Source organism: Homo sapiens, chromosome 8 (assembly GCF_000001405.40).
Source record: "Homo sapiens chromosome 8, GRCh38.p14 Primary Assembly".
In the NCBI taxonomy this organism is placed as follows: domain Eukaryota; kingdom Metazoa; phylum Chordata; class Mammalia; order Primates; family Hominidae; genus Homo; species Homo sapiens.
In genome coordinates this window covers 498,759-515,074 of record NC_000008.11, presented here as the reverse complement: position 1 = coordinate 515,074, position 16,316 = coordinate 498,759, and the positions used below count along the sequence as shown (strand labels likewise).

At 44.6% G+C, this 16,316-nt stretch overlaps 1 protein-coding gene across 4 annotated transcripts in view, besides 1 other annotated feature; it reads left to right on the top strand.

Annotated features, from left to right (window-relative positions):
* Positions 1-16,316, top strand: part of TDRP (testis development related protein) — a 55,835-nt gene that overhangs the window by 30,706 nt on the left and 8,813 nt on the right. The window lies entirely within an intron of this gene.
* Positions 11,777-12,351: an enhancer, noted in NCBI's record as "H3K27ac-H3K4me1 hESC enhancer chr8:452724-453298 (GRCh37/hg19 assembly coordinates)". NCBI's record gives its function as "activates a minimal SCP1, AML or CMV promoter by ChIP-STARR-seq in naive H9 embryonic stem cells {active_cell/tissue: H9 hESC(naive)}" and the evidence as "EXISTENCE:reporter gene assay evidence [ECO:0000049][PMID:30033119]".

Below are 16,316 nucleotides of genomic sequence, written 5' to 3'. Positions count from 1 at the left end.
GTGAGTGGAGCCCTGAAGCCTGACCTGTGTCTCCAGTATTGATGGAATATTTAATCATACATATTAGCTGAATTGGAATAAAGTCTGAATTGTATGACTTTTCCTGATTGTCTTTTGCAGGATAAATACCATCATGATCCAATTCCTTCATTTGAGAAAGTGAGAATCTTAATTTTAAAGTAGCCCTCCCCGTGAAAGAAAACTCTCCTGCCTGTTGGTGCCATTCCTTGGAGGACCAGGGTGGGAGGAGGCTGAGAGGTGGTAAACTGGCACACTCAACACATGTTCCCGTTGCTTCTCGGGTGGGCCTTCCCCTATAGAGCTGGAATGCAAAAATAGACATTTCCCAGTGTCCCAGGGAAAGGCTGCATCCCCACTGAGGCACTGAGGTGACTGGTAGTGGAGAGAGGGCTTCAAGCTCCTTGGCTTATGTGGATCCGGCAGTCACAGGGTGGTTTTGTGGCCACATGGTTCCTCGTGTTTCCATACACAGAGCTAAGGTCATGTGTTTCTGAGGTCAACAGACTTGGCAGTGGTGTCCTGGTCCCTGCATTGAGGCAAATGTGGATCTAGAGTCTGCGTTCAGCATCCTGTCCCCAGTTTTGTGGTTGTGTGGGTGGCAGTTCCCTTGGTGGGAGGCAGGTGTGAAGATCCAACTTCATTTTCTTACATGTGGCTTTCCAGTTGTCACACAGCCATTTGTTGAAAAGATTATTTTTTCCCCATTGAATTGTCTTGGCACTCTTCTTGAAAATCAATTGACCTTATATGTATGGGTTTATTTCTGGACGCTTAGTTCTTTTCCATTCATCTGTCATTGATTAATGCCACTGATTGCATTGATGTGCTAGTACCACACTGTTTTATTACTGTTGCTTTGTGGTAAGTTTGAAATGGCAAGTGTGAGTTCTCTTACTTTGATCTTCTTTTTCAAGATTATTTTGGCTTGAATCCCCTGTTATTTTGTATGCATCTTAGAGTCAGCTCATCAGTTTTTACAAAGAATCAGCTGGTATTGTGATAGGGGTTTCATTGAATGTGTAGATCAGTTTGGGGAGTATTGCCATCTTAATAATGTTATGTCTTCTGATTCATGACAGTGGAGTAGTTTTCCAGTTATTCAGATCATTTAAACATTTTAAGCATATTCCTAAGTATTTTATTATTTTGATGTAATTGTAACTGGAATTGCTTTCTTAATTTCACTTTTGGATTGTTCCTTGCTGGTGTGTAAGAACGCAATTGATTTTCGTGTATTCATGATGTGTCCTGTAACTGTGTTGAACTCTTTTATTAGTTCTAACATAGGTTTTTAGTGGACTACTTCATATTTTGTATGCAAAAGATCATGTTATCAGCAAATAGAGATAGTTTCATTTTGTTTCCTTTCTGTATGCATTTTACTTTTCTTGTCTAATTGCTGTGGCTGAAATCTGCACGGTGTTGAATAGAAGAGGCAAGAATAGGCTTCCTTGTCTTGTTCCTGCTCTTGGGAGGCAAGCTTTCAGTCTTTAACCATTTAGTATGTTGTGTTAGCTGAGATATTTTCATAGACACCCATTACTAGGTTGAGGAAATTCCCTTCTTTTTCTACTTTGTTGAATGTTTTTATCATGAAAGAGTATTGGATTTTGCCAAATGTTTTTTCTGCATATATTGAGATGCTTATATAATTTTTTTTATTCATTTGCTATATTAATGGATTTTCAGATGTTGAGCTAACCTTTCTTTCCTGAGATAAATCCCACTTGATTATGGTACATAATTCTTTTCATTTTTTAATGTTTTTGGATTCAGTTTGGTGGCATTTTGGTGAGGAAGTTTTTTTGGTCCATATTCATAAGAGATACTAGTCTATAATTTCCTTTTCTCGTGGTGTCTTTGTCTAGTTTTGGTATCAGTATAATAGTGCCCTCACAAAATGAGTTAGAAAATGTTCCTTGCTCTTCTATTTTTTTTTTTTTGAAATAGTGTGAAGAATTGGTATTAATTCTTTAAATAGTTGGTAGGATTTAGTAGCAAACATATCTGGGCCTGAGCTTTTCTTTTTGGGTAGCCTTTTGATTACTAATTCAATTTCTCCACCTTGTTTTTTTTTTTTTTGAGGTGAAATCTTGCTCTGTCACCCAGGCTGGAGTGCAGTGTCACAATCTTGGCTCACTGCAACCTCCACTTCCCAGGTTTAAGTGATTCTCCCACCTCAGCCTCCTGAGTAGCTGGGATTACAGGCACATGCCACCATGCCCAGCTAATTTTTGTATTTTTATTAGAGATGGGGTTTTGCCATGGCCAGGCTGTTCTCAAATTCATGGCCTCAGGTGATCTGCCCACCTTTGCCTACAAAAATGCTGAGATTACAGGCATGAGACCACTGCACCTGGTCTCTTCACTTGTTATATATGTATTCAGATTTTGTGTTTCTTCTTGAGTCAGTTTTGGTAGTTTGTGTCTTTGTGGGAATCTGTCCATTTCTTCTAAGTTGCCTTTTTTTTTTTGATGGACAATGTTTCTTTATATTCTTGATTTATATAAGGTCAATAGAAATGTCTCCTCTTTCATTTCTGATTCCAGTAATTTAAGTCTTCTTTTTTCTTGGTCAGTTTCAAGATTTATCAATTTTGCTGATTTTTTTTTATTGTTGTTGAGATGGAGTCTTGCTCTGTTGCCAGGCTGGAGTGCAGCAGCACGATCTTGGCTCACTGCAGCCTCCGCCTCCCGGGTTCAAGTGATTCTCCTGTCTCAGCCTCCCAAGGAGCTGGCACTACAGGTGTGTGCCACCATGCCCAGTCATTTTTTTTTTTGTTGTTGTTGTTGTTGTAGAGAAGGGGTTTCACTGTGTTGGCCAGGATGGTCTCAGTCTCCACCTCGTGATCCACCTGCTGTGGCCTTCCAATTTGCTGGGATTACAGGTGTGAGCCACTGCATCCGGCCCCAATTTTGTTTTTTTTTTTAAAGAACGAAATTTTGGTTTTGTTTATTTCTCTTCTGTTATTCTCTATTGATTAATTTGTGCTTTAATCTTTGTGATTTCCTACCTTTTGCTTCCTTTAGGTTTAGTTTGCTCTTTTTCCACTGCCTTAAGATAGAAGTTTAAGTTATTGATTTGATATCTTTTTTTCTTTATAGACATTTACAGCTATAAATTTCCTCCTAAGCTTTGCTTTAACTGAATCCCATGTTTTTTGGTATGTTGTGTCTTCACTTTGTTTACAAGTATTTTCTGATTTCCTTCTTAGACCCATTGGTAATTTAAGAGTGAGTTTTAAAATTTCCACATATTTGAGAGTTTTTCCTGCCTCATTTCTAATTTCATTCCATTATGGTCAAAGAAAGGACTTTGAATAGTTTTATCCTGTTAAATATATCCAGGTTTGTTTTATCACCTAGCATATGATCTGTCCTGAAGACTGATCTGTTTGCACTTGAGAAGAATGTACATTCTATTGTTGGAGAGTTCTGTAACTATCTGTTAGGTCTTATTAGTTTGTAGTGTTTTTCCACATCTTCTGTTGTTAATCTTCTATCCATTATTGAAAGTGGCATGGTGAAATCTCTGTGAATATTGGATTTTTCTAGTTCTCCCTTTATGTCTGTCCATTTTTGTTTCTTGTATTTTGTTGCCTTGTTACTATGTACATGTAAGTCTTTAATTGTTATATCTTCCTGATGGGCTGTTGCATTTATTTTGATGAAATTCTCTTTAGCAACATTAAAAAAAATTTTTTAAACTCTCTTTTGTTTACATAGTCACTTTAGCTTTGTTGTGTTTGCTGTTTGCATATCTCTGTTTCCTTCCTTTCACTTTCAGTCAGTTTTTATCTTTGATTCTAAAGTGTGTCTCCTATAGGCAGTATTTAGTTGGATTGTATTTTAAAAATCCAGTGTGACAGTATTTGCCTTTGCTTGGAGTTTTAATCCATTTACATTTAATATTGAATTAGTAGGGTTGGGTTTACATCTGCCATTTCCCTTTTTGTTTTCCATATGTCTCATGCCTTCATTTTGTTCCTTTGCTGCTTTCTTTTGCATTGTGTATATTTTTAAATTCAACATTTTCATTTATTATCTTACCATCTGTAGCCGATTTCTTAGCCTGATGTAGCTTTGCTTCTACCCTCATCTTTTGTGGTGTTATTGGCAAATATATTACATACACATTACATTTCTATGTAGTATATGCCTATTCTATGCAATTGCTTTTCAGACTAGTTCTGGGAAGAAATAAGAATGTATCTGTACTGTATTTTATAATTACATAATTACCATTACCGGTGCACTTTGTTTTCTCATGTGGATATGAGTTGCTGTATGGAGTTCCTCGTTTTCAGCTGAAGAAGTTCCTTTAGTGTTTCTCATAAGGTGGGTTTGCTAACAAGAAGTTCAGATTTATTCATCTAGGAAAGTCTGTATTTTACCTTCATTTTTGAAAGATGGTCTTTGCTGGATATAGGATTTTTGGTTGAGAATTTTTTTTTCTTCATTGAGTGCTCTGATTGTGTTATTCCACTGCCTTCCGGCATTCATTGTTTTTACTGAGAGTCAGCTGTTAATCTTATTGGGGCTTCCTTTATAAGCTATTGGTCATTTTTCTCTTGTAGCTTTCAAGATTATCTCCCTGTCTTTGGTTGGTATAATAAAGATTACATCTGATCTTTTGTCTGTGGTTCCTGGCACAGAGGTTCAAAAACTCTTGGGATTTCCTGAGTGAGAAGAGTGTCCTCTTATGCTAATGAAGTGACTTGAAGTGGGCCCCTAGATAGCCTCGGGATGGGGGGTGGTTACCAGAAAGACAAACATGCAATTAGAGGGTTGGGATTTTCCAGCTGCCAGACTTCTGGGGATAAGAGAGGAACTGGAGACTGAGTGCAGTCATGTGGCCAATTATTTAACCAATTATGCGTACCTATTTAAACCCCAGTCACAACTCTGGATGCTGAAGCTTAGTGGAGCTTCCTGGTTGGTGAACACACTGGCGGGCTGGGTGAATGACACACCCTGATTCCCTGGGGAGTGGGCACAGCTCTGTGCTTCCTCCTGGAGGTCACATCGCATGTGTCTAAATTCGGTTGCTCTGTCACCCAGGCTGGAGTGCAGTGACACAATCTTGGCTCACTGCAACCTCCACTTCTCAGGTTTGCCCCAAGCAGTTCCCAGCTTGACTTTTCCATTTAGCTTAGTGATTTTGGAGTCCCAACATTTATTTTCCTTTCACAGAACTTATGTTAAAAGGGAAACAGGCGTCAAAGTTTGGAAACTTTGCAGCCTGACAAAGTAATAGAAAAGAAAAAGCTATTTTTGGGGGAGAAATTCAAGCCAGCTGCAGAAATTTGCGTTAAGTAGCAAGGAGCCAAATGTTAATCATCAAGACAATAGGGAAATTGTCTCCAGGGCATGTCAGAGACCTTTGGGGCAGCCCCTCCCATCACAGGCCTGGAGGCCCGGAGGAAAAAATGGGTCAGATGAGCCAGATCCAGGGCTCCCTTGCTATGTGTAGCCTGGTTCTTGGTGCCCTGTCTCCCAGCCGCTCCAGCCATGGGGAAAAGGTACCAAGGTACAGCTCAGGCCATTGTTTCAGAGTGTGCAAGCCCCAATCCTTGGCTGCTTCCACTTGGTGTTGGTCCTACGACTGCACCGAAGTCAAGAATTGAGGTTTGAGAACCTCTGGCTAGATTTCAGAGATGTATGGAAACACCTGGATGTCCAGAAAGAAGTTTGCTGCAGGGGCAGAGCACTCATGGAGAACCTCTGCTGGGCCAGTATGGAAGGGAAATGTGGGGTTGGAGCCCCCACAGAGAGTCCCCTCTGGGGCACTGTCTAGTGTAACTGTGAAAAAAGGGCCACCATCCTCAGATCCCAGAATGGTAGATCCACCGACAGTTTGCACCATATGCCTGGAAAAGCTGCAGACACTCAATACCAGCCATGAAAGCAGCTGGCGCCAGGGGGCCATACCCTGCAAAGCCACAGGGGTGGAGCTGCCCAAGGTGGTAGGAGCCCATCTCTTGCATCAGCACGAGCTGGTTGTGTGAGACATGGAGTCAAAGGAGATTATTTTGGAGCTTTAAGATGTGATGAGTGCCTCACTGGATTTTGGACCTGCATGGGGCCTGTAGCCCCTTTGTTTTGGCCAGTTTCTCCCATTTGAAGCAGGAACATTTACCCAATGTCTGTATCTCCATTGTATCTAGGAAGTAACTAGCTTGCTTTTGATTTTACAGGCTTATAGGCAAAAGGGACTTGCCTTGTCTCAGATTAGACTTTGGATTTGGACTTTTGAGTTAATGCTGAAATGAATTAAGACTTTGGGGAACTGTTGAGAAGGCATAATTGTGTCTTGAAAAGTGAAAAAAATGAGATTTGGGAGGGGCCAGGGGTGGAATGATACGGTTTGGCTGTGTGTCCCCACCCAAATCTCATCTTGAATTGTAATTCCCATAATCGCAATGTATCAAGGGCAGGACCTGGTGAGAGGTGATTGGATCCTGGGGGTGGTTTCCCGCATGCTATTCTTGTGATAGTGAGTGAGTTCTCATGAGATCTGATGGTTTTATAAGGGAGTCTTCCCCCTTCACTCATTTGCTCTCTGTCTTGAATGCTGCCATATTAGATATGCCTTTGCCTTTTGCCTTCCACCATTTTTGTAAGTTTCCTGAGGCCTTCCCAGCCATGTGGAACTGAGTCAATTAAACTGCTTTTCTTTATAAATTACCCAGTCTTGGGCAGTTCTTTATAGCAATGTGAAAATGAACTAATACACATATTATCTGTAGCAGTCTGTCTTCAAGTTCACTTAATTTTTTCTTCTCTAAATTAAAATGTACTGTAAAACCCCTCTAGTGAATATTTTATTTCATGTATTATACTTTTCATTTCTAGAAATTCCAGTTGGTTCTTTTTGATAATTTCTGTCTCTTTACTGGCATTCTCTCTTTGATGCAACATTGCCGTCGTACCTTCCTTTACATCTTTATCATACTTTCCTTTAGCTTTGTTAACATATTTATAATGGTTCTTTGAAGTCTTCTTCTGTTAAATCCACAGATCTGGCAGTTTGTGTTGCCTGCTGTTGTTTTCTGATGTATGGGTCTTCCTTTTTCTTTGGCTGCCTCAAAACTTTCTGTTGAAACAGGACACTTTATATATTTTATTTTTATTTTTTAACTTTAAGTTAAATAGTACAGGTGAAAGTTTGTTATATAGGTAAACTTGTGTCATGGGAGTTTGTTGTACAGATTATTTTGTCACCCAGGTATTAAGCCTAGTGCCCACTGGTTAGAAACTGGACATTTTGGATGATACATTGTAGCCACTCTGGGTACTGACTGTTCCCCCTTTCCCATTGTTGCTGTTGTTATTTGCCTCTTTATTTGCTTAGTGATTGGCTGGATTATTTTAGAGAAGTCAATTCTCCACCCTGCCCCCAGTGGTGTAATTTAGCTCCTGATGTGGCTTCTGGTGGGGCACGGCACTGTTGGGTGTGGCCCCTCTTACCTGGGATGATGGAGGTGTGGCAGGCTTTCTTCCTCTGTCCGTGACCGCATGCAGCTGCTAAATTCCAGTAATTGCTGCTGATTGCTGTATGGTTTAAAAAATGTCCTGGGGCATACATTGCTCTACAAATGAATCCAGTCAAATTGTGGCTTCTGTGAAGGAACAGTTTGAGGTCCCTGCTTGATATTTACTCTGACCCCAAGAAGGATCCTTCCAGCTGTCTTATTCCCTAGTTCTTCCCTGAAAGCCAGCAGCCTCAGGTCTCAAATCTTAGGCTTGTCTCAAATCTCCTTCTGATATGGCTTGGCTCTGTGTCCCCATGCAAATCTCATCTAGAATTGCAATCCCCATGTGTTGAGGGAAGGAAGTGATTGGATTATGGGGGCAGTCTCCCCTACACTGTTCTCATGATAGTGAGTGAGTCTCATGAGATCTGATGGTTTTAAAGTGGCAGTTCTTCCTGTGCATGCTCATACTCCCTCCTGCTGCCTTGTGAAGAAGGTGCCTGCCTCCCCTTTGCCTTCCGCCATGATTGTAAGTTTCCCAAAGCTTCCCAGCCATGCTTCCTGTTAAGCTTGCAGAACTGTGAGTCAATTAAACCTCTTTCCTTTATAATTACCCAGTCCCAGGTATTATTCTTTATAGCAGTGTGAGAATGAACTAATACCTCCCCATTGCACTTCACCACAGACTCCAGTGTTCCTAAGAGCTCCCTTATGTTTAAGCTTCTCTACACTCTGTGCAAATGAAGTGGGCTCCTTTGGAAAGAGATTTTGTCTTCCACAGCTCTGAAGGTTAGTGCTGGTCCATAGCTGTCTGCTTTATGTCCTGCTTCTCCACCAGGGACATCTCTCAGCCAAGACTCTGGAGCTGGGGATGGGGACAAAGGCAAGCTGCTCTCCGAGTGACAGTCCTGCTCTGGGAACTGAGCATTTGCCGTAGTGGGGAGTCGTATCAGCTTGCTTCTCCTGGGGTGGAACCGTCACCTCTCGAGCCCAGGAAGGGTGATCAGGGCTCCACTGTTTGCAGTGCAGCACATGCACAGCAGCGCCTCCTTCCCGGGAGTGGGGCTGGAACAAGGGAGTCCTCACCTCTGTGTAGCATTCAGCTGCGGCTTAGTGTCAGCCACAGGCAGCTGGGGACGGCATGTGAGAAGCTGAAGTCCAGTTCCTCCTGGGATGAAAGTCGTTCCACTTGGAGCTGGAGTGAGAGGGAGCCTGTGCTGTTGGCTGTGGCTGATCTGAGTGGATTCTCCTCCCCTCCCCCCGCTGCCGAGCTGGGAGGGTAAATGGTCTTGTTTGCTCATCTTTTGTACCAAATGTTTAAGAATTTTCATGAATAGATATTTCTTCACTTACTATGTGCCCTTGGGAGCATTTCCAGAGATCCTATGTGTGTTTTTTGTTGTTTAAATAATTTCAATTTTCTTACAGCAAAAACAGGGAAATCTGGAGTATTCGTTTCTTGAAAAAATAGTGTTCATGTGGCTCTGCCCCTCTGTCTTTGTGGCAGTGGAAAGCGGCCATGGCTGAATGGGTGAGGAGAAAGAGGACACCCAGACCCCCAGCCATTAGGCCACAGTGATGTCCATGCCCACATTTCCAGATAGCTCCCACTACCCTGCTGCTTAGGGACCCTGTCCTGGCTGGCACTGGGTGAAGCTAGCAAGTTGATATCTACGTGCCGACTTTGGGTGTGATTTGAGGGTTTGTGTGTCTGCCTACGTGCTGACTTTGCGTGTGATTTGAGGGTTTGTGTGGCTGCCTCTGGACCCTGCAGTTTGAGAGTTTTTCATGTTCATCGGAGGGTGTTTACACAGCAGCTCACGATTTCTCTTCTGGTATACACAAGCCTGGGCTGTGAGAGTAATCATTTTTCTTACAGTTCTCAATCTAAAGCCTCAGTGAAGCACTGACAGATGGCATTGGTTTCTGTTGGCCATGCGTTCCTGCTGCTGTGGCTGGAGATCTTCATGGCCTTCATGGGAAATGGCTGGAAGTTGATGGAGGCTGACATTGGCTCCTGGCCATGGGTTAAGTTCCCGTCTGAGGTATTTCTAGCAACCTTCCTGCACCTGCAGTCTGGATTTCGGTTCGCAGTAGTCATGGATTATGTTTCTTCATTGGGATTGCTTGTTCTAGTTTTATAAAAACAGAAGAGAAATTTTACACATCTTCAATATTATGGAAAACAATATTTACCCTTTAACAGGATCCTTCCCACCCCTGTTTCACAAGACTCATATTGAACCTGTTATTAAAACTGCTTTAGCACTTGGTGGAAGAGGTATTTGTGGACTTGTACAGTTAATGCACTTACGGAATTAATCCTTTTCAGTTCTTAACAAACCTGCTGAACAAAAGAATATTTGTACCAAGGGTGGCTATAGCTGTTTTAGGTCTGTGGGTCCGTTTGCAGGTAGGCAGTGTTGAGAATTTTTGGTTTTAGATTACATAAGTAATTCCAAATGTGGTAATTAATGTTTGTTTTTATCAGGCATACAAAATTATCTGAAGGTTATGTGTATTGTTTTTGTAAATTGAATATGAAGTCATCATGTATGAAATATTTTTATTTCATCAAAATACTTTGTTAAAAACGGTGTGGGAAGTAAAAGTTCCCTTTCCCTGTTCCCCAAATCTTTCCAAATATGTATCTTAAAAAGGACATAGGTAGAAGTTTTTCAGAATGAGAAATGATTAATAATGCCTCTCATGGGCTTAGAATGAATTTATAAGTCTGGGTTCCGAAATGTGAATGAGCAGAGAGCACAAGTTCATTTGTCTCGATGACTGTTTTGAATGCCAGTTTCTGGTGTGTTCAAACTTAACTGGCATCAAGATCTTCAGATTGACTATTGTGAAATAAATGGCAAAGTCTGTTGACCCAAATTGTAACCTGGTGATTCTTACAAGAATTGCCAGTTCACCAAACAGGGCTGGAGTGCTGACTTCTTATTCCCAAAACTGCAGATATTGAACATGAGTGGTTTTACGGTTTGCACTGTCTGCGAATCACGGTTTGTGGCAGAGCCCAGAGTCTGCCTCTTTGAACATTCTGCAAACTGGATCCACCCTGCAGGGTAGGGGGCTCCGTTCTCGTTTCACTTGGTGAGTGGGTTTCTTAGGGGCTCCTGGACTGCTCTAGGCCCTTCCCCTGCCTCCCCCCACTGACTTCAGGACTCTTGAAGTGAATGCTTTATTGCTGCACCCCCAGGTTAAAACTCAGGGAAAAAGAAAACACTACCCAAAACATGCTGTCTGGAGCATATCAAAGGAAACACAAGACCCAGTGCTGCAGTGGGGCCTTTTTTGAGGCCAGTCCTCCGTTTGTTTTTAAAAGATATGTTTGCAGAAATTAACAGGAGGAAAAACAACTCCTGGAGGTCACACAGCTGGCATCTGACAGATGAGGGGACTGAGCAACCAGTGACAGGGCTGCGGTCAGAACCCAGGGCAGGCTCAGGTGGACTGGGTTCCGACACGTGGCTCTGGATTCCGTGTTGGTGCTTGCTGAGGTGGGTGTGGGTTACCCTTTTGTGGCTCTGGATTCCGTGTTGGTGTGTGCTGAGGTGGGCATTGGTTCCAGTGTGTGGCTCTTGATTCCATGTTGACTTGTGCTGAGGTGGGCATTGGTTCCATTGTGTGGCTCTGGATTCCATGTTGGTGCGTGCTGAGGTGGGGGTGGGTTACCCTTGTGTGGCTCTGGATTCCGTGTTGGTGTGTGCAGAGGTGGGCATTGGTTCCAGTGTGTGGCTCTTGATTCCATATTGACGCGTGCTGAGGTGGGCATGGGTTCCAGTGTGTGGCTCTGGATTCCGTGTTGATGCGTGCTGAGGTGGGCACGGGTTCTGATGTGTAGCTCTGGATTCCATGCTGGTGTGTGCTGATGTGGGCGTGGATTCCGTGTTGGTGTGTGTTGAGGTGGGCATTGGTTCCAGTGTGTGTGGCTCTGGATTCCGTGTTGGGTGCGTGCTGAGGTGGGTACAGGTTCTGATGTGTGGCTTTGGATTCTGTGTTGATGCATGGTGAGTGGGCATTGGTTCCAGTGTGCTGCTCTGGATTCCGTGTTGGTGTGTGCTGAGGTGGGCACGTGTTCCGATGCATGGCTCTAGATTCCGTGTTGGTGCGTGCTGAGGTGGGCACGGGTTCCAATGCGTGGCTGTGGATTCCGTGTTGACGCGTGCAGAGGTGGGCATTGGTTCTGATGTGCAGCTCTGGATTCCATGTTGACACGTGCTGAGGTGGGCATTGGTTCCAGTGTGTGACTCTGCATTCCATGTTGGCGTGTGCTGAGGTGGACGTGGGTTGCCCTAGTGTGGCTCTGGATTCCATGTTGGTGTGTGCTGAGGTGGGCATTGCTTCCAGTGTGTGGCTGTGGATTCTGTGTTGGTGCGTGTTGAGGTGGGCATGGGTTCTGATGCGTGGCTCTGGATTCTGTGTTGACACATGCTGAGGTGGGCATTGGTTCCAGTGTGTGGCTTTGGATTCCATGTTGACACATGCTGAGGTGGGCACAGGTTCTGATGTGTGGCTCTGGATTCCGTGTTGTTGCATGCTGAGGTGGGCATTGGTTCTGATGTGCGGCTCTGTATTCTGTGTTGACGTGTGCTGAGATGGGCATTGGTTCCAGTGTGTGGCTCTGGATTCAATGTTGACACGTGCTGAGGTGGGCACAGGTTCTGATGTGTGGCTCTGGATTCCGTGTTGGTGCATGCTGAGGTGGGCATTGGTTCTGATGTGTGGCTCTGGATTCTGTGTTGACATGTGTTGAGGTGGGCATTGGTTCCAGTGTATGGCTCTGGATTCCATGTTGATGCATGCTGAGTTGGGCATGGGTTCCATTGTGTGGCTCTGGATTCTGTGTTGATGTGTGCTGAGGTGGGCATGGGTTCCGGTGTGTGGCTCTGGATTCCGTGTTGATGTGTGCTGAGGTGGGCATTGGTTCCAGTGTGTGGCTCTGGATTCCATGTTGACACGTGCTGAGGTAGGCGTAGGTCCCACTGCATGGCTCTGGGTTCCATGTTTGTGTGTGCTGAGGTATGCCTAGGTCACCCGAGCTAGTTTTTTGAGTCAGACTGTGTTCAGGCAGGCTGGGGGTCAGATCAGCAGCCCCTCTGGTGGGAGCCTGGTCTCGCTATGGCCGCCTAGCCCCACCACACCCTGAAGGGTCGTTGGCCTGGCACCCTGCAATTTGGTGAACACGGCTGCGGGCCTTCCTGTGGCCTGATGGGTCTCATCTGATGACTGTGGGATTTGGTCTCACAGTTTGACTTGGATGTCAGGACTGGGTTCATCAACCAATGTTTTCCAGAATGGCCAGTTTCTCAATAGCTTCAGTGTGTTTAAAGATAAGTTCACTGTGAGTTCCCAAATTTAGAAGGGATGAAAGAAGACTAAGCTGTTCTGTGCCTTTTTGTTGTACGTAATTGAAACCTTAGCCTGTTGGGGGCACTGTGTTTTGTGTTCCCAGGATCACAGCATTTTCACAGTATTCAGGAAGGTGGGAGGTGGTAGCCAATGGCGATGCCAAGAAGAGGCCTGGGGCCTGTGCTTTCACTCTTCCCAGAGTCCTCCCTCACCACGTCACCACCCCCAGAACAGCTTTAAGACACTGAATGCCAGCGCTAAGCCTTTGTCCAGAACTGTTCTGGGGGTGGGCTTTGGAGAGGGTGGGTCAGGGTCATGCACAGCTCCTTCCATGTTCCCCTCATCTTCACAAAGAGCTGTATTTCTGGGCCCATGACTGCAGGGACGCCAGTGCCCTGTGGTTGATAACGGCAAACCGTCTGTACTGAGTCCCATGCTGGCCCTGCACATGGTCACCCTGCTGTGATGCAGTGTTCCTGATGAGAAATTGGGATACCTGGCTTAAGAAAGGTTTCTAATTTTTCCTGACCTATGACTTTAAATACCTTTAAAACGTATAGCAGGAAAGGTCCGGGCGCGGTGTCTCACGCCTGTAATCCCAGCACTTTGGGAGGCTGAGGCGGTTGGATCGCTTGAGGGCAGGAGTTCGAGACCAGCCGGGCCAACATAGTGAAACCCTATCTTTACTAAAAATACAAAAATTAGCTGGGTGTGGTGGCCATCGCCTGTAATTCCAGCTACTCAGGAGGCTGAGGCAGGAGAATTGCTTGAACCTGGGAGGTGGATGTTGCAGTGAGCCAAGATCACACCACTGCACTCCAGCCTGGGCAACAGAGAAAGACTCCATCTCAAAAAGACAAAACAAAAGAAGTATACCAGGAAATTTGCTTTATAATGAAATACTAAAATTACATGGACTCTGGACTGAACTGGTAGGTGCAGGTTATGTGGCATGCAGTGAGCTGACCCGAGCATTACGCTCATGTTTTTTTTGTTTGTTTGTTTTTTTGAGATGGAGTCTCACTCTGTCGCCCAGGCTGGAGTGCAGTGGCGCGATCTCAGCTCACTGCAAGCTCCACCTCCTCGGGTTCACGCCATTCTCCTGCCTCAGCCTCCAGAGTAGCTGGGACTACAGGCGCCCGCCATCACGCCCGGCTAATTTTTGTATTTTTAGTAGAGACGGGGTTTCACCGTGTTAGCCAGGATGGTCTCGATCTCCTGACCTTGTGATCCACCCACCTTGGCCTCCCAGAGTGCTGGGATTACAGGTGTGAGACACCGCGCCCGGCCTGCTCATGTTCTTGTTAACCCTCTTGCTGGATTCTGTCCTTCACAGGTACTGTGGTGTAACACTTCCTGGTCTTGCCCACATTACTGGGTTGGTCTTAGGTGTCACTGTTCAGCCTTGCTGTGCTATTTCCTGCCCTGGTTGTCAGGACCCAGAGTTGCAGGGAGCAGCCTGGAGGCTTTCTCCCAGGGCCGGAGTCCGATACACCTGCCCTTCCTGTGGCAAAAGGAGAAATTTCCATCTGCTTTATTGGGATAATTCAGAACTTAATGCTTGAATTTTACATTTAATGAAAAATAGGAGAAAACGCAAATGACACTGTATCTTGGACATTTTGTTTAAGATTTCAAGATTACAAATTGTGAGATTAAGTATGAAGGATGGCACTTCTGAGAGTGTCACTTGGTTAGATGAGGATCTCTTTTCTGATTACAGGAGGTGAAGATTGGCAGGTTCAGTTCTTCTAAACAAGGCCTTCAGGGTTGCCACACCCAAGCTCTGTGCTCATGGACAGGATCTGGACGTGCGCACTGGTGGGGCCTGCCGATGAGGTTTATTGCTCCCTGTGTATTCAATGCCAGCCAGAGGTCCTGGCCTCTCTGCACATTTTTGATAAGACACTGCCGTTTAACCTAACAGGAATAATTTTGGTAAATTATGGATATTAATTTTCTTTACAATATTGCATAGATTTTCTTCATGAAACATGAAGCACTTTTTTACAACTAAGGTATAGCTAAAACAGGAAAAATAATTTTTCGTTGTTTTGTGCAGGAACTTACTTTCTCATTTCTGTGGCCTAACTTCTTGGTCATTACCAGCGTTTTACGGCACATCTCATCTGTCTTCATTGTTTTGGATGTCACTTTCTCTCTGAATTGAATCCTAGTTTTAAGAATGTTTTACCATCATTCTTCTTGGTCCTCAAGAGGTGTTTAGGTTTTTTCTGCCTTCCCATAGAACACTCTACAGGGCTTTTCCCGTGGAAGAGGAGAACTTTCTTCATGCCCCATACCATGAGCAGCACTTAGGCTGTCGCCACCTAAGATTTTGTCCACCTCAGGACAATGTCCATGTCCTTCCTGGGCCCTTCAGGAACTCCACCTCAAGGGCCAGCCTTGCTGGCTACAGGAGCAGAGTGCTCAGGTGAGGACTTTCCCTCCTGTCCTTCCCGGGGGATGCTCAGAGGGAAATGTGGGAGACTTCAGGTGAAGACCGAGATATCTGGTTTTGATGGATTCTTTCTGCCCGCATAGTGGATGAGTGGAGGAGTGGCCTCACAGCACTCCTCACGCTCACACTTCGATCATGTCTGTTTGTGCACCTTCTAGGACTCCAACCTCTTCTAATTGCTCACCTGGCAGTAGAGAGGGATTCCCTTACTTGTTCTCCATGGAGGTGCATGTTAGAGCAGGGGCTCAGGAAGCTGGTGGTGGGATGGAGTCCCAGCTCCAGGGTCATCTGATGGGATGTGCAGCAGCCACCCAGGTGCTACAGGGACAGTGGTGTGGTTAGTGGAGACCACACAACTGGAAATGTGGGTTCTACTGCCAGCCCAGCGTGGTGTTCAAAGGGTGGAATTCCTGGAAAATTGTATGCAGAAATGGGAGATTAAGGCATTCTTGTAAGGAAGTAGGCCAGGCCACCAGCCTGGGTAACAGAGAGACCCTGCCTCCAAAAACAAAACAAAACAAAACAAAAACGTTGTTTGAAGTTCATAAACTAGAGACTATTTTTTTGGCATCTTATTCCTAATAATTTCAATGGAAACACTAGGTAATAATTTATATTTCAATAATTCTCATTTCCTGTTGATTTTCCTTATGATACCAGAAATGGAATCTTAGGGGAATCACCTTGTATTAGTCCATTTACACACTGCTGTAAAGAACTACCTGAGACTGGGTAATTTATAAAGAAAAGAGGTTTAATTGACTCACAGTTCCATGTGGCTGGGGAGGCCTCAGGAAACTTACGTAAGGAGGTGAAGGGAAAACAAGGCACATCTTACTTGGTGGCAGGAGAGAGAGAGAGAGAGAGAACAGGGAGGTGCCACACACTTTTAAATGATCAGATCTTGTGAGAACTCACTATCACAAGAACAGCAAGGGGGAAATCCGCTTCCATGATCCAGTCACGTCCCACCAGGTCCCTTCCCTGACATGTGG